This window comes from Homo sapiens, chromosome 4, assembly GCF_000001405.40.
Source record: "Homo sapiens chromosome 4, GRCh38.p14 Primary Assembly".
Classification (NCBI taxonomy): domain Eukaryota; kingdom Metazoa; phylum Chordata; class Mammalia; order Primates; family Hominidae; genus Homo; species Homo sapiens.
The window spans coordinates 168,537,953-168,558,647 of record NC_000004.12 but is presented as its reverse complement, the minus strand read 5'-3'; the positions used below and the strand labels follow the sequence as shown (position 1 = coordinate 168,558,647).

The following is a 20,695-nucleotide window of genomic DNA, read 5'->3' as shown; positions in this document are numbered from 1 at the left end:
TTGGATTTTCAAAGAAAGGAATTAAAAACCAGTTCCAAGACTCTTGGGCCCTTCAGCGCATCAAGGATATAAAAAGTGGTCAGAGTTCGGAGAGGGAAGAAGGGCTGGTGAAGAGACTCACTTGGAGAGAGCTGCTGCCAGGCACGTTTCTGTTTGTGAAAGAGCTGAGGGAGGGGTGTTATCTCCAAACCATAAGCCTGGTGATGGAGGAAGGGCCACCTCTACCGCTTTGAAATGCCTTCCTTGCATGTGGGATACCCAGAGGGCTGGCGCCTGACTCCTGCCTGAGAAAGGTAAAGTGTACCATGGACTGGGGTCTAACCTGTCCTGGAAAGTTTCACAGGAAAGGAGATCTGAGTGCCTTTGTGTGGAGGAGCCAGGGAAGCGCTGATCTGCCAGCACTGGTTTTCACTTGCAGTTTGGGGGCCAGAGCTGGGGGATGAGTAAACATGGGACATGAAGGATGGAGCTGCTGTTGGTACAACACAGTAGCCCGTAGGGGTGAGAGGTGACCTCATCAGAAAAAGGCTGAAGATGAGGAACTGATTTGCAGGAGCTGAGGAAGGAGTCCCAAATGGCCATTGGTAATGAGGAGACGAAGGGCTCTGCATAGGCTCTGTAGAGCCTACAAAGCACTCAATGAGAAAAAGAGCTGGTTTTAGCCATCACCAGGACCAGAGAGAGCAAAGCTACCCAGCCAAGTAAGGATTGTCCTATCTCCCCACCTTCCCTCCCTTTCCCACATCCCTGCTGGTAGGAAGTGCACAGACAGGGGTGAGCAGGGAGAGATTAACAGCAGGAGGGAATCCCCCTGCTCACAGCTGACTCAAGCCTGAAGTAGGTCCTAACTGGGGTAGGGGAGAAAATCTCATACCACAACAAGCTCAGAGGTTTGAGAATTACATGGGATTAGGCCTTCTTACTACTGAAGGAGACCGTGCTTGAGATTTAATGCACATGTAGGGCACCTTACGTAACAGTGGATAGTGTCTATGTGTTTCCACATTGGGACACAGGAAGATTACTGCAGTCCAATGGAATAAGTTTAAAGGGGTAGGGGACAAGAGGAATTGATTATGATTTGTTTACTTCTTGAGTTGTCCTAGTCCAACATATTGATTATGCCTGGAATGAACTAATGAATATGATTTAATGGCTGTAGTTTCAAAGTTAATGCTTACAGAGAGAAATAGAAGAAATAGTACAATAGGGATCCGTTGCTTGGAAATGGTCTAAGATTTGTTGGAATATTCTCAGATGCATGGAACTCTATAGGGCAAACGTATATTGAACGAACAAGTGGAGGCCGGGAGTGGTGGCTCACGCCTGTAATCCCAGCACTTTGGGAGGCTGAGATGGGCAGATCACCTGAGGTCACGAGTTTGAGACCAGACTGGCCAACATGGTGAAACCCCATCTCTACTAAAAATACAAAAATTACTGAGATGAGGTGGCACACACCTGTAATCCCAGCTACTCGGGAGGCTGAGGAAGGAGAATTGCTTGAAGCCGGGAGGTGGAGGTTGCAGTGAGCCAAGATCCCGTCACTGCACTCCAGCCTGGGCAACAGAGCGAGACTCTGTCTCAAAACAAAACAAAACAAAACAAAACAAAAACAAGTGGAAATGTGAGTTGAGAGCCCATTGAATACTGACAGTTCCCGGGGGAGGCTGATTACAGGAACACTTGCTCTGCTTCCTGCCTTCTAATCTGTGCAGGGAGCTGTCTAGAATAAAGTAGGGCTATAAACCACAGGCAGAAGTAGCCACTTCTTCTAGGCTTCATGCCTTAGTCACGAGAGTATGGAGTACCCTGCACCTAAGAGGCAAAGAGACATCGGGGCAGCCCCAAGGTGTGACACTTTTCCTCCCATCTTTTTCTCTAGCACAAATTTCTGTACTTTCATATTTTCTCAGTCTTTTTTGTTAGGCTGGTTTGAATTAAGATGTTAAGACTGATAGTAACAATGATGTTCCTCTCAAGCATGACTTAAATGACTTAAAAAATAACACAGGGTAAGAGTCCCAGACTTGTGTGGGGATGGATAGTTTGAGCTTTTAAAAGGCAGGCTACCAAGAGGTTGATTTGCACACATTGAAAGCATCCTGCTTCGCTGGTACAGGAGTTTCACTTCCGGAAAGCCCATTTTTAAAAAATGAAAAATATATGTGAATGGAAGAGGGAAAACACTTTACCTTTTTCTTCACTTCTTCTTCTTCAACTTCTGGTCCCTATTTTAAAAGGTATTAATATGGCCGGGCGCCGTGGCTTACACCTGTAATCCCAGCACTTTGGGAGGCAGAGGCGGGCGGATCACGAGGTCAGGAGATCGAGAGCATCCTGGCTAACACGGTGAAGCCCCGTTTCTACTAAAAATACAAAAAATTAGCCGGGCGTGGTGGTGGGCACCTGTAGTCCCAGCTACTCTGGAGGCCGAGGCAGGAGAATGGCGTGAACCCGGGGGGCGGAGCCTGCAGTGAGCCGAGATTGCGCCACTGCACTCCAGCCTGGGCGACAGAGTGAGACTCTGTCTCAAAAAAAAAAAGGGTATTAATATGAACTCCATTTACGAACACTGACTATACTATGTGTTAGAAGCTGTGCTAAGAGGTCTTAAACCTTTTCTCTCTCTAATCCATGATCCCGGAACTTCGGGGTGGTTCTATACACATTTTACAAATGAGGAAATGAAGATTTAAGAAGGTTAAATAGGGTGTCTTAGGTTATAGAGTTAATTTGCATCTGAGCCTGCAATCGATCCCTCTTTTTGACTGGATCCCTAGGTCTTAACAACTATGCTATCCAGAGGTAAGCTTTTGAATAATTTATTAATAAGGTGTCAAGATGGGCCATGATGCTGAATACATAAATGGATAATGAGGGATTAAATCAACTGCTTTGGAATGAACTGCATTTTGTTTCTAAATGTGTTATGCTTGGCAAGTCTATTCTGAAATGGAACAGCTGGTCTACTTACTTTTGCGGCACTCTGCCTCACCTGCTGGTTTAATTGTGTAACAGAAAGTGGAGAAAGAGATGATTGATCTGCTAATATCAGATCTTTCATTCTAATACTCATATTCAGCTATCTAAAAGGAAAATTAGAACACAATCGCCAGGCTGCTCTGGATAGAACCCAGGGAGCAGCAAGTTTTCTCAGCAAAGCGGGTCCACAGAGGGCTCGCTGCGGTGCTCAGGTCTGAATAAAGTGGTTCCACCTGCAGCAAATTACCCCTCTCCCCACCAGGCAGATTCAGCCATCTTCCTCCTTTTTAGTTAGGGAAAGGCTGGAACCTGGTATGGATTTTTCTCAGGCCTCAACCCTTAGAACCAGTTTTAGTCTTCTTTGGTTTCTGTGGTTCTATTCTCTATGCTCCGTTCCTAATCAGCCTTGACAGATACCTGCTTCGCTTTCATTGCTGGCACTTAGGACTTATTCACAAGTTCAATTCACTGGGGAAAACACCCCAGGGAACATCCTTAATATTCGTATAAATCTTTAATAATAGTAGATCTACATGTTTCTTTCTTTCATACTTCATTAGAAGACTGGACTCCAATAAAATTGAATATTTTGTTTGTTTTTTCTCCTTGCATATAAATCTCATCGTATACAAATAAAAATACAAAAATAGAAACAAAAAATCACTCAAAATTATGCCCTACGAAGGCAAACATTGTTTCCATTTTAATGTATTTTGTTCCAGTGTTTTTAATTTGTATCTTGGTATAAATATGAATAGTATAAATATAAATAGTATAAACATGATAGTATAAAAGTAAATAGTATAAATATGATAGGTTTTTCTTTAAAATATCAGTGAAGTTGTTGAGATAACCTGAAAGCTGATTATTTATTTTGGAGGGCTCTAGAATTAAATTCTGGTAGATTCTGAAATCAAGATTATTAAACGAAAGATATATAAAGCAAAATATAAAAAGGTTTCTTTATATATGGAGCATTAAAGACTTTCAAATTGCTCCATAACAAAAATCTTTTAAAAAAATTAAGAGCGTACTTAGCCTCAAATATTTTAATGTTTACCATGTCAGCATTACAACTTGTTAAATAATAATAGTCGCTTTTGTTTTAAACAATTCTAAAAATACAGGTAACATGCATTGCTGTGAGACTATGAACATCTGTGGTGACCACGGATTGGCTGACATAGAGGTGTTCAACACTTTTGCTGTAGTTTTATGGTTCTACAAATTTCTCCCCGTTAAAGATGGGATAGTGTCTTTGCTCCAGCATTGGTAGATTTCCCCACTAATCATTGGCGGTCTGAAGAGTAAGAGAGAAACTCAATAAGGGTATTGGAGAAAGTAAAAAGTGAGTTAGCTTTCCTTGCCAATAAGGAGTTCCAGGAAATATGTTCTTAATGGAGAGAAAAAAACTCAGAAAAATAAAGCAAGGAACAAGGAATGACCTAATAATAATGGTTTTTCAGGTGGCAAATATTTCATAAACAATGGTGACCAGATGTTTCCTACCCTCATAAAACAGAGCTACCGGGCTTCATGTACAAGCCGAAGGATGTCCGGCATTGAACCAGGGCTTAGTGATAGTTCCCTGTGTGCCAGGCACTGCGCTGGCCTCAGTGGGGGCTGGACAGACATGGTCTCTGCTGCCACGGACCTTGGACTCAGGGAAAGATGTGGTAAATGAACAGTTTTTAAAATCGCCGTTGTCACAAATATCAGAAGTTTCCTTCCAGAATGTAGAATTCCCTGATTCAGCAAATAAAAATAACATGATGCCCCTACCCTACCCAGAAGCCCTCTCCATTGAATGGTAGTAGGAGGGAGAGGAGAAAGAACATTCCAGTAAGAGGAAAAATGCATATTCCAAGGCACTCAGGTAGGGAAGCAGCTTGGTGCTTATCAGAATCTAAGTTAGACATAAGGAAAAACAGTCCAAAAAAACAAAGCAAGGCCAACAACAACAACAACAACAACAAAAATGGGTAAACATATCTGCATGTCTAATGATACATTTTTGAAGTACAGATTAAGAATCATTATACACAAACGTTCAGTCTAATTCACCCCAGCCTTCTTTTTCTGACAGCAATACCACAGGTTCCTTTGTAGGCAGACAGAGTTATCTTTCTTTAGTGCCAACCCAAGCACAGGAATATTCTCTCCAGTAACTTAATTTTTCTGAATCCACTGATTGCAAATATGTCACTTACTAGTTTAAACATTTTACGTTAAAAAATTTTCAATTGTAGCACTTGCATTAATGACTCTTATAAATGAATTACCTTATCTTGGACTTAGACTCTGTTTGCTTTAACTTCACCCATCTCTACCTTTTGCAGACTTTTACCAGAGCCATTACAACATTATAAGGCTTTTTTTCCCCAGACTTGCCCTCCTCACAGTCGTTTTGAGTCCCTTCATGGCTGTGGTTCCTTCTCTTACATATGGGGACAGTAAAGAATAGGTTTTCAATTAGATGGGTTTCAAATCCAAACTCCTCACTTACTGGCTAAGTAAGCTTGGGTGACTTACCTAATATCTCTGAGACTCAGTTTTCACATCTTTAAAATGGGCCAATGACACTAGAGATTTATCTTATAGGGTTGTTGGGTTATAGGTTTGTAGGGTTATAGGTTGTTGGATGTTGCCCAGCATATGAAGTATTAGCACAATGCTTAACACATATTGTCTGGGCGTGGTGGCACCCGCCTGTACTCCCAGCAGTTTGGGAGGCCAAGGCAAGCAGATTACCTGAGGTCAGGAGTTCGAGATCAGCCTGTCCAATATGGTGAAACCCTGTCTCTATTAAAAATTAAAAAATTAGCCGGTCATGGTGGCACGCGCCTGTAGTCTCAGCTACTCAGGAGGCTGAGGCAGGACAATCGCATGAGCCCGGGAGGCAGAGGTTGCAGTGAGCTGAGATCATGCCACTGCACTCCAGCCTGGCCGACAGAGTGAGACTCTGTCTCAAAAACAAAACAAAACAAAACAAAAACAAACAAGAAAACCCCCCAAAAAACCCACATATTAAATACATAGGAATATATAACAATTTTAAAATTTCACTTCAGATTTCCACAGCTTTCTTCCTGTATAGGGGGTTATGGCTTTGTACTGGGTAGGATAATATTTGCCATTGTGTTTCCAAACAGGAAAAGTTAGCTAATGAACTGGGTTGATGTTGCTGGCAGGTTAGTGTTTAGAGCCTGTGTTGCCAGTAAGTGGTATAAGAAAGCTCATGGATTCCAGGGATTCATTTTCCTGCAGCACTGGACTTCCTTAAAAATATCACTTCATACTTCCCCACATTTAAATATACCTGCTTGTTTCTCACCAACTCAAAAAACCAAATGAATCCAACTTCCCAGGTTCCTGCCCTCCCCTCACCCCACGTTGGCTTTGGGTCCCTTCATGAGTGTGATTCCTTCCTCTCTCACATTGGGGGCAGTAAAGGATAGGCTCTTATTTAGATTGATGTCAAATACAAACTCCTCACTTACTGGCTGAGTCAACTTGGGTGACTTAAACTAACATCTCTGAGACTCAGTTTTCACATCTTTAAATTGGGCCAATGACACTAGAGATTTACCTTATAGGGTAAATCTCAAAGATTTTACCTAATGTATTTAATGTATACATCTCAAAGGTTTACCCTTGTGGAGTAGTACCTCAAAACCAAAGACTCACGGGAGCTTCCTCTATCTTCCTTCCCAATTTGACTTGGTATGTCATGACTTGGAAAAACTTGGTGTCATCTGAAAATTGGAAATGTCATCGTGAATTTTCTCTTCCAAATCACACTATAATATCAGAGTCAGATGTTTCCAGCACTGATCATAAGCCAACACGAGTGTTTAATTTTACTTCATTTAGTGGAGAGTTGTCCTTGGTTTGCTACCTCCAAGCCAGTTCACTAGCCATGGACAAGCTGCTCTAAATACATGATTCACATTGCCTGTTTTGTTTTTTTTTTAATTTAAAAAAACAAGTTATAAAATGTTAAAAAAAAATGAAACATCATTTTTATTCTAAACTATTGTCAAGGGCCTTTGAAAGTCTTAATATATGTACCCCCAGGTTTGTTTTTATCCACATTGATATCTCCTTTACAAAGAGTAGGTAACAAATTAGTCCTCATGGTTACTATATTTTGAAATTTTGTTTTATTTCCTTTAATAACTAATGCACCAAGCACTCAGGAATTCTACCATTTACACAATAAAAGAATTGTGACTCCCAAGTTTGTGGTTATGAAGTATACTCCTGGAATCCTTATGTATAAAATCCTGATAAACTGTCATTGCCAGTTCTTAAGCAAGTTATAAAATGTGGCTAGCAGCTTCCTTATTTTGCCCTAGAGTTTCCTCAGATTGCTGAAATAATAGGCAAAAGACCTGAGCAAACAATTCACGAAAGAGAAAATAAAAACATTTGAAAATATAATTCATATTCAAAAATGCACATAAAAATAGATTTATTTTTTATTCATCAAATTAAGAGAAATTGAAAAAAACAGACTACCCAATTCAGGCAAGAATACAATGATTTTGGCTTTCTGTGATTTGTAATAAGTCTTTCAGGGGTATAAAAATTATAATGTAACAAGGGTATACACTACAGTGCATAGATAACTCTAAACTTTGTCACTGGATTTATAAAATGTGAAAATTCTTGAAGCAACTGCAAACTTTGTAGAAGCTACGTAAGTGTTGGCAAATTCTCCATTAATTCAAATTATGCAAATTAGCACTAGTAACAAGAGAGTTAGAAACTGTTTTTCCAAAAATAATGACAAGTAGTAAAACATTACAGTTCAATGAAAGAACATGGATTGGGGGCAGAGTATCAAACTGAAAAGCAAAACTAAATTAGTAATTGAGGGATTCATAACATATGTCTCTAAAGAGACAAAACGAAATACTGACCCCCTATAAGTGAGACTAATTTGCTTGTATAGCAAAAATTTGATCTTGAGTGCCCAGCTTGATTAGCAAAGTTCCCAAAGAGGGCGCCCCCATAGTGAGTGAGGAATGTAACTACAGAAGTTTAGGTGGGCACTGGGCACGGGGAGACTCTCCCAGTGGCTCTTTAGAAGCTCATAAATATCTCTAGCTTGAAGTCCAGATTAGTTATAGAGGCTTACTGTGTTTTGTCATTTTGCCAAAAATGCCCCTTTTGCTTCGGTTCCACATTTGGCTTTCCCTGTGAGTCTTGCAGGGTTTTATTCTATTTTATCCCAGAGGAACAGAGAACTAGAATAACTCAAATACTTGTAGGCCTGGGGGAGCTCCATGACTTGAATATGGTAATTCTCTGCTTTGGATGGTATGATTGAAGCACTTACCATTTTTCTTTGTTTTCGTTTTCTGTTTTGATAAAAAAAAATGTAGTTTTGCACTGACTCAGACAAAGTAAAGTCATCCCTTTTAACTTAGGATTAGCCCTGAGGAACTCTTCTCTCCTTTTTATTAAGTGTGCTTTAGTTCCAATCCCTCCACAATCCCAGGCCCACAGTTATCCTAAGTATTTGCTGATACAGGGGAAATGGCACTGAGCATTGAGAGAGATGAACCTGGCATTAATTTCCTAATGTGTTGTATTCACTATGGCTAATGGAGAAATTACTCAGATTTATTTTCTATTTGTAAAATGATTACTCAAAGATGTTGGGAGGAATAAATGAGACAACATGGATGAAAGTGTAAATAATATAATTCTACATAAATGAATTATTGTCAGAACCATCATAAACTTCTTCATTTTGGGGATAGAATTTCATTGCCTTTTGCTAAATGCTACTATAGAAAATAAGGTATTAAAAAACCTCTTGGTTTTCTGAGGGTTAAAGATTTGTTTCTTCAATTCTAACTCTCATTTTTTTTTTGTGGTTCTTGTTCCTTGAACTATTGCCCATGAATGTCTAATGGCTGGTTAACTTTTCTAAAATTAAATAGCCCTTTGATGGATATCTTTGTTTCTCATCTCTCACCAGAATATTAAAATAAATTATAGGCTCTAGCTTCCCTCTAAATAGGATACTTTAAAAAAGATAATTGGGTGAAGTATTAATAAGAGGGAGGGAATGTACTGGGTTAAAAATGTCAAGATCCTTCAGTACTAGATGTTTGAAAAATCCGTAGAAATAAAGGATGGAAAAAATAAATTAATTGAGTAGTTGATTTTAATGCTATCTTGTTTACTTGACATTATATCAAATGAGTGAGCATTTAAATATATAAACTGTTAAGACCGTGTCTTGAGGCTGTACAAACACATATACAGAGACATCTGACTTTAAAAAATTGTTTTGAACACCCACCGAGATGAACATCTGTTTTGCATTCACTGCCCTTATGCTTTTGGTTTAGACGCTGCAATACTAATTTTTTTTTTTTTTGAGAAGTGTGACATTGCAATCAATTGACAATTTTAATTATTTCAATGATATCTTTGTAAAAAAAGAAAATTCATCACTCAAAAAGCAGACCACATGGAAATTTAAATATTTATAGAGAGTAAGTGATTTAAATTGTCAGATGGTGGCTTAAATCATCAGATGGTGTTTTTCTGAGATAATTATATTTTCCTCAAGATTTAATAGCAACTTTCTTTTTTAATTTTTTTTTCTTTCTTTCTTTTTTAGAGATAGGGTCTTGCTCTGTCACCCAGGCTGGATTGCAGTGGCACAGTCATGGCTCACTATAATCTCACTACAACAACCTCCTGGGCCCAAGCAAACCTCCTGCCTTGGCCTCCCAAAATATTGTGATTACAAGTATGAGCCACTGTACCCAGTCTGCAACTTTCATATTATTTACCACGCTCCTCAAATTTGTATTTAAATCGTTAATTTCAAGAATAAAATCATTTACGGTAATAATTTTAAAGCAACCTTTCAAAGGAAACATGTAAGATAGTTTTAAAAATAAGACTTGTATATCCTTATTATCCTTTATTATATCATAGGATGCTCTTCCCCAGAGCTTTGAACTTCAACTCTCCTTACTTTGTCTCTCCTACAATGGTTCTCACCTAGGACTTGCATTAGATTTCCCTGATAATGCCCAGGCCCCACACCAGACCATTTCGCCAGACTCTCTCATCTCTCATATCAGTATTTTATTAGCCTCTTCTGAGATTCAGCCTTGGGGAATCTCTTTAGATTTAACTAGTCATTGGGAAGAACTTTGTCTTCAAAATCATCTCAAATCATTGCTTCTTTTCTTTGTGTACACCAGAAAACAAAGAAGTGTAAAGATAATTTAGGAGTAATATGATCTGCTGAGAGTATTAGTGTTTCCCTGTTTTTTTTTTTTTCCTGAGTTAGAAGGAAATGATCTCTTTTCCTTTTTTCATCTGAAAAAAAGTAAGGAAGAGCCTCTTCCATTTTTAAGTCAGAGCAATAAAATTTAACAGTAAATATTACCTCATTGGTGACTGAACTCTCCCCTTCAATCTTTTAGAATTTCTTATTAATGGCTTTAGATAAGATCCTTTTGTCTCATTAATTTTTTTATGTTGAACACTTTGGGTCTGACGTGTAGTTGGTGTTCAAGAAGCACATGCTGGATAATTAATTGTGCTGAGCCTGAAGGAGACTTTTTTGTTTGTTTGTTTGTTTGTTTGTTTGCTCTTTGTTGCCCAGGCTGGAATGCAGTGGCACATTCTCGGCTCACTGCCACCTCCGCCTCCCAGGTTTTTTTTTTTTTTTTTTTTTGAGACGGAGTCTTGCTCTGTCGCCCAGGCTGGAGTGCAGTGGCACGATCACGGCTCACTGCAAGCTCCGCCTCCCGGGTTCCAGTAATTTTCCTGCCTCAGCCTCCTGGGTAGCTGGGACTACAGGCGCACGCCACCACGCCCAGCTAATTTTTGTATTTTTAATAGAGATGGGGTTTCACCATGTTGGCCAGGATGGTCTCTATCTCGACCTCGTGATCTGCCCGCCTCGGCCTCCCAAAGTCCTGGGATTGCAGGCATGAGCCACTGTGCCTGGCCACGCCTCCCAGGTTTAAGCAATTCTTGCGCCTCAACCTCCTGAGTAGCTCAGTCTACAGGCACCTGCCACCACACCTGGCTTTTTTTTTTTTTTTTTTTTTGTATTTTATTAGAGATAATGTTTCACCAGGTTGGCCAGGGTGGTCTCAAAACTCCTGAGCTCAGGCAATCTGCCTGCCTTGGCCTCCCAAAGTGCTAGGATTACAGACATGAGCCACCATGCCTGGCCTGGAAGGAGATCTTCACAGTTACCCCAGAGGGCTCCACGTTCATTGTGGTGTTATTGGCGGTGTTATGCTGGCCACACACACACACAACACACACACTCCCACACACTCCCCACTTGGTTTTCCTAATAACCTGAGGCAAGTTTGCCAGAAATTGGCTTTTCTACTTTACAAACAGGGAAACTTAGTTTCTGAAAGGTTAAATCACTGGCCGGGTGCTTGCCACACACCCAGTTAGTAGGCGTGTGGGGCGACGGTCCAGGGCTTGAGATTTGTATTCTTTCTCTTTGTCCACGGCTCCTTATAACCCCTTGTCAGGTAAAGGCAGATGGATCAAATCTGCAGCTGAGACAAGGGGTAACAGAATCAGAACTCTAAAATGTATGAACAGGTTGGAATGCTGGCCACAAAAACCCAAAAGGTAAAATTTAATAGGGAAAAATATAAGGTGTTAAGTTCAGATTACTTTAAAAAAATTATGAAATACAGCTTTGGGGAACAGGGAGAGAAGACAGTTGTTCATGTGAATAAAAAAATCTGTGGCTATGAGATCAGCATGTGATGGATTGAAATACATAATGTAAACCTAGGCTGCTTTATAGTATCCATAGAAGTATAATCAGGTTCAGGAAATAAGAGAGGTCCCAACTTCTTCTCTGTGCTGGAAATAAATCATTTGGAATTTGCGCTTAGTTTTAGCCCTCACATTTTAAGTGGGACAGTGACAAACCGATGTTTGATTATAGTACACGTATCAGCGGGTATCCTCAAAAACTGGGTTATACTGGACCAACTTTTTTCATTTCGGCACCTATGGAAAGTTTAAAGACCTGCAGGATGTCTATGAATTTTCAGGGGCTTAAATTCTCATGGTAACTCCTGGCTCTAAGATCCATCTTCAAGTTCAAATCCCAGCATCTTGCCTGGGCTATACCTGTTCTTTGCTTTGTGGACCCCAATAGCTCAGCTTCTTGTTCTGATTTTCACAGAATTTCACTCACACAAAGATTTTCTGTGCTAAGAGATTTTACTGGTAATTTGGGGGAGGCAAGGAAAGCTTAAGGAGCTGGAATGATAAACATTTTAATTTGAAAAGCAGGCATCTCTGTTCTTAAACTTTCTTTTGGTGGGTGGGGGGTGGGGGGCGTTGGAATTTTTTACTGGCTTCCGATATGTTCTGAGCACTCTGATCTTGCTGACTGCTCTCACTCTCATTATTGTTCTTTATTCTCTTCCTCTCATATTTCCTGCAGGAACTCCATATGTTTCTCAGATGAATACACACAGTAATTCGTCTTTCTCTGTTCCTTACTCTCAAACTCAGCTCCAGGCCAACCTGTGCATATACAGAAGCTATCAAGCTGCTTGGTTAAATGAAAGAGCTACCCCTAAATTTCTTTCCTAACAGAATCCATTCTTTTAGAATGGAATTGTGCATTTAAATAGCATTTTATTCCTCTGTTAAGCCAGGAAAATAAAGGGTTTGAAAATGGGAGCTTCCTAGCACTTATTTTAAGTAATTTAAAATCATGAACTCACTTAAAATTGCTGCATAAGGGATCATTCCACCTTTCCCATCATAATTGTACATGATAGAACTGTTCCTCTTTCTGACTGTAGGAAGTGGATATTATATATTGATAAACTGACATTATGTAATTACAAAACTCAGTTGTTTTGTCATTGTAAATAAATACTGGTATTCCTAATGATATTGTGTTTGAAATAGGAAAGAGCAGTGCAATAGTCACACAACTGGAATGGATCTAGGACAGATGTGGGAAAAGGAGGATAGACAGAAGGCTCAGATTAAAAGAGTGAATAGGTAAAAAATCAAACAAGGTATGTAATTTGCTATAGATTAGCTGTAGGAAGCAATAGAGAAAAAGAAACTGAGTTCTTTTTTTTTTTGAGACAGAGTTTCTCTCTTGTTGCCCAGGCTGGAGTGCAGTGGTGCAATCTCGGCTCACTGCAACCTCCGCCTCCTGGGTTCAAGTGATTCTCCTGCCTCAGCCTCCCAAGTAGCTGGGATTACAGGCACCTGCCACCTCGCCCGGCTAATTTTTTTATACTTTTAGTAGAGACGAGGTTTCACCATGTTGGCCAGGCTGGTCTTGAACTCCTGACCTCAGGTAATCCGCCTGCCTCACCCTCCCAAAGTGCTGGGATTACAGGTGTGAGCCACCACACCCGGCCAATCTTGAGTTCTATTAAAAGAGAGTAAAGGAAATAGTCATTTACACTAAGGACTCAGGCTTTAGAGAGATACTAAGTAAGGAATTTGAGTTTTGGAAACCAGAGAGGATGAAAATAAAAAGCTCATGAGGAAATGATTTCAGTCTGAGCTCCGGGATTATTTCTGCCACCACTTTGATTTCCTCTCACAGGCTGAGAGAGTTAATCTAATATTCCAAGGATTGAAGTTGCTGGATCTGAGAAATCAGACCTGCATCTGTCCTGACAATGCTAGCCTCTACCCAAGTGAGTGACGGTCATATATAGGCACGTGTATGGTGTTTGTGTCCCAAGAGACCCACAAAATCTGAAGTAGCTTTTACGTTGTTTCCCTGGGGATGACTTGGACAACCCTCCAGAAACAAGGTTAGCTGGGAGAAACATTGTCCTGGTGTAAAAATGGTCCCTTTCTGTTAGGGTGGGCTAGCTCATGAGATTACTTGCAAAATCAGTTAACTTTTTTAGTGAACAGCCTTGGAATTTTCTGAATAAACTAGGAAATAAGAAGTGTAAAATTTTCTACAAATGCTGATAATAGAAATAAGTGTAAAACGAAATTATCCTTTTTGATTTTGCAATTCACTTAAGTATTTTAGTAATTCAAGATGATTTTTAAAAGTCATATAATCTTATCTGTATTTTAAATTAGGATAAAAAATTCTAAGTAAATGGTTGGCTTAATTTATTTATAATAACAAGCTCACTCTCCCATCTTTAAATGCCTAGTAGATCCTGGGAAGTTTTCCATTAATGGATACACCTATAAATAGGTAATTAACACACACATTAACCTCAAGAATTACCAGGACCATGAGCTATGCTGCAATATTATACTACTCAAGGCAAGACAGCATTTACTTATTTTGATATCCACAGGGCCTATGCCAGGCATATAATAGGTACTGAAAATATTTGTTGAAATGGACAAATAAGTCAAGTTCTTATCTTGCTAACACTGCAGGATATGCAGAAATGTGCACTTAGAACTAAATTTCAAATCATCTAATAATCAGTATATATCAGTGAGAGAAAGTATAAACAGAACATGTAGTTTCTAATTTTAAAAGTTGGAACACATTCACACAGATAAATACATGATTTATCAATGACATTTGGCATAGCAGATTATGTGATATTTGCCTTGTAGAATTAAGTCAAGAAATTTGTTTTCAGTATTCAGGCAGTAAAAATGGAGAAAGAATATATATAAAACAATTATTGGCAAATATTCTCTATATATGCATATACGTGAGTACATCTTCATGTATACACAAATACACCAAATTCATTCATTATTCAACACATTTTTAATGAGTGAGCAAAACTAGAAGGATCTCTTCCTTTGGGTTTTTTTTCCCCAAAGATACTAATGTCTCTGCTGAGAACTAAAATTTTGTAAGACTTTAGCAATGAAATGCAGTCTGCAGATTTAGTATTTGTTAAGACTTTTCGAAAGGCTGGAGGGAGCCAATAGTGTCTATAAGGTGGGGTATCTTTTCCCAGCTTGGCTGGTTGTGGGAAGGTACCCTTCAAATGATGACTCAGACTCTTGGGACAGGGTATAATATACAGTATTTAATATAATTAAATATGTAGCTCATTTTCAAACATTTAGCTCATTTTCATTTACTTCATTTAATTTTTTTTTTTGCCCTCCTGCCATTTGCATTCAATCATCTACACCATTATGGAGGTAGAAATGTCTCTCTCTTACAACTGTGGCGGAGGCAGAATAGAGGAAAACTTACAGAGATTGTGTTTTATACATTAAACTAGATGCCCATTTAGTACCACATCTTGCCTAGTAAGCCCAGTTAAACTTAACTGTAGTCCCTGCAGTTGAGACGAGATTATGTGGAGAGGGAAGATGCCAAAAAAAAAAAAGATAAATATAATTTATATACTATCAACTAGGTGTCATGTGTTATCCTAATTACTTTCTATCTGTTAACTCATATATTCCTCTCAACAGTAGTATCGTCTCCATTTTACAAATGAAGAAGATGAGGGTCAGACAAGGCAAGTGACGTTCTCAGTGTCACACAGCTTGCAAATGATGGAGCTAGGAAGTGGTCCTAGCTGACATGCTCAGAGGCTGTGCTCTTAATTACTGTGCTATACTTTCTCATAAAGTAGACGAGACAGTATCAGCTCATGAGGATTTAAGGTCCATCTCAGTAGGAGAGTGGCACAAAATCTTAATATATCAAAAGACAGCAGGTGATTAGGTCATACGGAAATGGAAGAGGCAGAGGTCTGAGGAGCCAGGTGAATCCAGTGGGCTGGTGGAGACTGTCTGGAAATGGCCCTTGCTCTGGGTCCAGCCACGTAGAGGGCAATGACGCAACAAGGCCATCAGATAGGCCCAAACCTTTTTAAGGATGTGAAAGATTCCCACCCAAGGTTGGTATCTGCCTAAGCTCTCTCTCTCTCTTTCTCTCCATATATATATATATATATATATATATATATATATATATATATATATGGAAAGGTTAGCTGGGAGAAACATGTAAACCATATATATATATATATAGAGAGAGAGAGCTTTACATAAATATATAGGGAGCCTTACATATAGCTTTACATAAGTAGTCATGGTATAATTTTTCTGTTTATGGAAACTGCTGGATTGTGGTTGTGGTTGATATAAAGTGCCAAGTTAGGTAAAAGACTAGTTTCCTAGGTGGGAGCACTCAACAAAGTACTTCAGAATTCTTTGCCACTAAAAACCTGCCACAATAATTGTTAATAGGGTGCAGCAGTTTTTTTTTTAATTTATTTTAAAAAATTTTCTTTTTTCTCTCTGTTGCCCAGGCTAGAGTGCAGTGGTATGATCATAGCTCACTGCAGCCTCGAACTCCTAGGGTCAAGTCACCCTCCCATCTCAGCCTCCCGAGTAGCTGGGACCACAGGCACAACCCACCATGTCTAGCCATGAGTGGCGGTTTTAGTTACCATAAAACCACAGATCCCAGAGACAAACTGCTCAGGCTAGAGTCTTGGACATGTCATTCACTACCTGGGTGACTGACACATTACTTATCCTTGCTGTGCCTCAGTTTTCTCACTTGCAAAACGTGGATAACAGCAGTATAACCTTAAAGGTGTGTGTATGTGTGTGTTTGTGATGATGAGACCAGTTTGGGAAACATACACATACGAATTTGAGCACATAGTGATAACGCAAATGTTAGGGTAGATCCACCACCACTTTCCCCTCACCTCTGCAACTCAAATGTCAGCTTCAAAAGGCAGGCATTTTTGTCTCTTTTGTTCACTCCTGTATTCTGGGCATCCTGAACAGTGTCTTCACTGAGTAGGTGCTCAATAAATATCTGTTGACTGGAAGGGACACTTTTCAACATTTTTATTTTTTTGCAACATATAATTGGGCAATCAAATGGCTTATATTTCTTTAAAGACTGGATCTATTATAAAATGAGTAAGAGAGGCTGGGCATGGTGACTCATGCTTGTAATTCCAGCACTTTGGGAGGCTAAGGTGGGCGGATCACTGGAGGTCAGGAGTTTGCGACTAGCCTGGCCAACATGGTGAAACCCTGTCTCTACTAAAAATACAAAAAAATTAGCCAGGTGTGGTGGCGAGCGCCTGTAATCCCAGCTACTCAGGAGGCTGAGGCAGGAGAATCGCTTGAACCTGGGCCTCATGCCACTGCACTCCAGCCTGGGCGACAGAGTAAGACTGTCTCAACAGATAAATAAATAAATAAATAAATAAATAAATAAATAAATAAATAAAATGAGTGAGAGTGTAAAATAAATACAACCCAATTCCCAGTTAGTTTTAGTTTACAATAAAATATGTCACAACTAACAAGACAGTCTAAGAGAGGACGTTTTTATAGGATGGGGGCTGAATTTTGTTGTTGGATGTGCTGTCATCTGAACACTTCTCATATGAGAAAAAAGCAAAAATAAAGAAACCAAGTAAAAACCCGAATAACACAAACAGATAAAGAATGAGTGCAGTTACCTCCCTGAATATTTATCCCCATCTTGAGCCCTGAATAATTCATTGACGCTTAAGTAACAGTGAGTCAACATATCTGCGTAAATATGACAATGTGTTTGTGCCACATTTTCCATTGTTTTCTTTTAAGTATAAATTTCATAGAACTGAAGTGTACTTATTAGCAGGGAGGCTGCAATCATCTTTGCCCACAGGGAATTTGGAGACTAACTACCGTCTCCATGATAGGTCAACAATTTAGAGTATATCTATAACCCTTCCACAAAAATGCAATGAGAGATGAAGGCTGGGGTGAGGTGAGAAGGAATGCCAAATACAAACTCCAACTCCTTACAGCTAATTTAATAATTTTGCAGTGAAAAATGGCTTTTTATCATCTCAGGAGCAAGTGCTTTTTTTTTTTTTTCTTCCCACCTGCTAAAAACTCTTTTCATTAAAAAGGGGGCTTGGAGTGCCTTTGCTTTGATGTAGGAGAATGTGTAATACCTGCAATATTTCTTGGCTAGAGAAAAATTGTTTTCATTTTCCAATGCTAATGACTCATTAAAAAGCAAAGTAAGAAGATAAAAATAAAGAAGAATGTAAAAACAAACATACATGCATACTTTTTGCTCTTTTTTTAAAAAAATGCGCAAACTGAAACTCATTTAAAATAATTTTTTTTCCAGGCTCTTGTCTAACTGAAATAGAATTATCACCATTCGACATGGCCCTTCAATCCTAAAACCCGTTTCAGAGTAAAAACATAATTAGCATGAACCCTAAGGACAGAAAGAGGGTGAGGTGGTTTCTGTAGTTTTGTGTTTCGGAAACAGAAAGAAGCCTAGAGAAAGACACAATGACTGTAACAGGCACAAATCAAATGAATCACCCACTCGCATGCTGGGAAAGCCTTTCTGATCTTTTAAGCTTGCCTGTAATTTATTTTTGGAGCCTCTGCCTGTGAATGTGAAACGTTGAGATGGAATCTGATAGTAGTCGCCTATGACGACTATGGAAGTCACTGTGGAAAGCCTTCATGGAAACCAGCTAGAGCATCTGCTAATGAGAAAATCGTTAGGGCTCATGTCGCAGCACAGACTGGGATGACTTGGTCATAATACGGTGCCATAATTAACATTCTTTTTCAGCTTCAGGTGCCTTTAAGGTCTTGGACTACACTATAGTTGGTTTACATCATAAAAAAGTATGACATGGACATAAAGATGGCAACAGTAGACATTGGGGATTACTAGAAGGGGGAGGGAGGGAGAAGGGAAGGGGGTGAGAAACTAACTCTTGGGTACTATGCTCAATACCTGGGTGACCAGATCAATCGTACCCCAAGCCTCAGCACCACGCAATATACCCATGTAACAAACCTGCACGTGTACCCCCTGAATCTAAAAGTTGAAATTATTTAAAAAAATAAAATAAAGTATAATAAATCTGAATTATATGCAGCTGTGTTTTAGTTTGGAAGAATCAACAGGGTACCAACGGGGATGAAAAAGATAATTTTGAGCTTTGATGAGACTGTGTGTTGCATTTTCATAAATTAACTATGAAAAGAAATTGTGAGAGGCCTTTGCACAACCTTTAGGTTTTCCAAAGCATCTTTATTTATTTATTTATTTATTTATTTATTTATTTATTTATTTATTTTTATTTTTTGAGACAGTCAGTGGCGCCATCTCGGCTCACTGCAACCTCCGCCTCCCGGGTTCAAGCGATTCTCCTGCCTCAGCCTCCTGAGTAGCTGGGATTACAGGGGTGCGCCACCACGGGTGGCTAATTTTTGTATTTTTAGTAGAAATGGGGTTTCTCCATGTTAGCCAGGCTGGTCTCGAACTCTTGACCTTGTTATTCCCCTGCCTCGGCGTCCCAAAGTGCTGGGATTACAGGCGTGAGCCACCGCGCCCGGGCAGGACTCGTAATTTTTAAAGCTGAAACCCCTTGACGTGGGGTCTGAAAACTTAGATCTGAACTCAACTTGTATCATTTCCTAGCTGACAAATTATGGAAAAGTTACTTAATTTCTCTAAGCCTCAGTTTTCCTTATTTGTAAAATGGGATAGCACAGCTGTAGTAAGGATGAAACAAAATAAGGTGTGCCATTGAAATTCATCCCTCAGGTAGTAGGTACTCACAATGTTCTTAACAATTTCAAATTATAATTCTATGAGCTAGTTTTATGACACACTATACATTTATCTAAATCTGTGAAATGCCTGTTTTTCACGCCCATAAGATCAGCCTTTTTAGGGGCTGGGGGAGGGCTAAATTCTGAACCACATGAACACGAAGTCGTAGCATCCAAAACTTGGAACATATGTGTTTCGGAAACAGAGAGAGAATCCTAGAGAAAGACACAATGACTGTAACAGACACCAATCGCGGGTAATCACCCACTTGCACAATGGGAAAGCCTTTCTGATCTTTTAAGCTTGCCTGTAATTTATTTTTGGAGCCTTTGCCGGTGAATGTGAAACGTTGAGATGGAACCTGGGACTTTAGAGTTGGGAGACGTTTTTTCTCCTAAGGTCTGGAATTATTCCAAAAGCATTCCCAATGTAATTTAAAATTCAATAAGAAACCAAGATTTATTTTATGTTCAGCTTTGTACAATTGTGTCTCTTCTGGAATGACCTGTCACAGAATGAGCGCAGGTATAATAACTGAATCATAAGGTCATTTGAAAAACAAGGTCTATGGCTAAAATGGACTGAATTTTATTATTTTATTTAAAATTTATTTAAAATAAAATTTTATTTTATTTTATTTTATTTAAATTTAAAACAAATTGTTCTGAACTTGGAATGTCATGACTGTAGGAATTATATTAAGCAATTTCTCATTCGGTTAAATCTTTCAATTTTCTTTGTATACTTACCTTTTCATTTTAAGGGCAAAGCCTTTAAAACATTTTATTAGATTCCAGATAGAAAAAAGGAAGTGGATTGTTTACTTACTCAGAATAATTCCCTGGATCTATACTTCAAATCATGAGGCACATTTTATAATTCTATACATTTTCAATTATCATTCCCGTTTTGCTTCTACTTATTTTTAAAATCCTACTTAATACCCTACTTGCTTAAGCAAATACTTCAGTATATACTTATGATGCCTATGTATAAGCACAATTCAAATAAAAACACAGCTTGTTTTGGTATTGCCACTCTTGTGTGTTAAAACAGGGAAAAGATCCAAGAATATAAAATATGTCACAGAAAGTTTCCTTACTGGTTATTCTCACCTGAAGGGGGATAGAATTCAAT

General features: G+C 39.1%; 1 protein-coding gene and 1 long non-coding RNA gene across 13 annotated transcripts in view, besides 1 other annotated feature; one reads left to right on the top strand and one right to left on the bottom strand.

The window, feature by feature from the left end:
• Nucleotides 1-20,695, bottom strand: part of PALLD (palladin, cytoskeletal associated protein) — a 431,390-nt gene that overhangs the window by 369,794 nt on the left and 40,901 nt on the right. The gene's annotated exons all lie outside the window — the stretch shown is intronic.
• The window catches only part of LOC124900807 (uncharacterized), an 84,414-nt gene that overhangs the window by 57,967 nt on the left and 5,752 nt on the right, over nucleotides 1-20,695 (top strand). The window lies entirely within an intron of this gene.
• Nucleotides 4,198-4,367: an enhancer, noted in NCBI's record as "experimental_76181 CRE fragment used in MPRA reporter constructs". NCBI's record gives its function as "activates a minimal promoter by MPRAs in K562 erythroleukemia cells, with activity observed for both the introgressed and non-introgressed 4:169475517 variant alleles {active_cell/tissue: K562}" and the evidence as "EXISTENCE:reporter gene assay evidence [ECO:0000049][PMID:34662402]".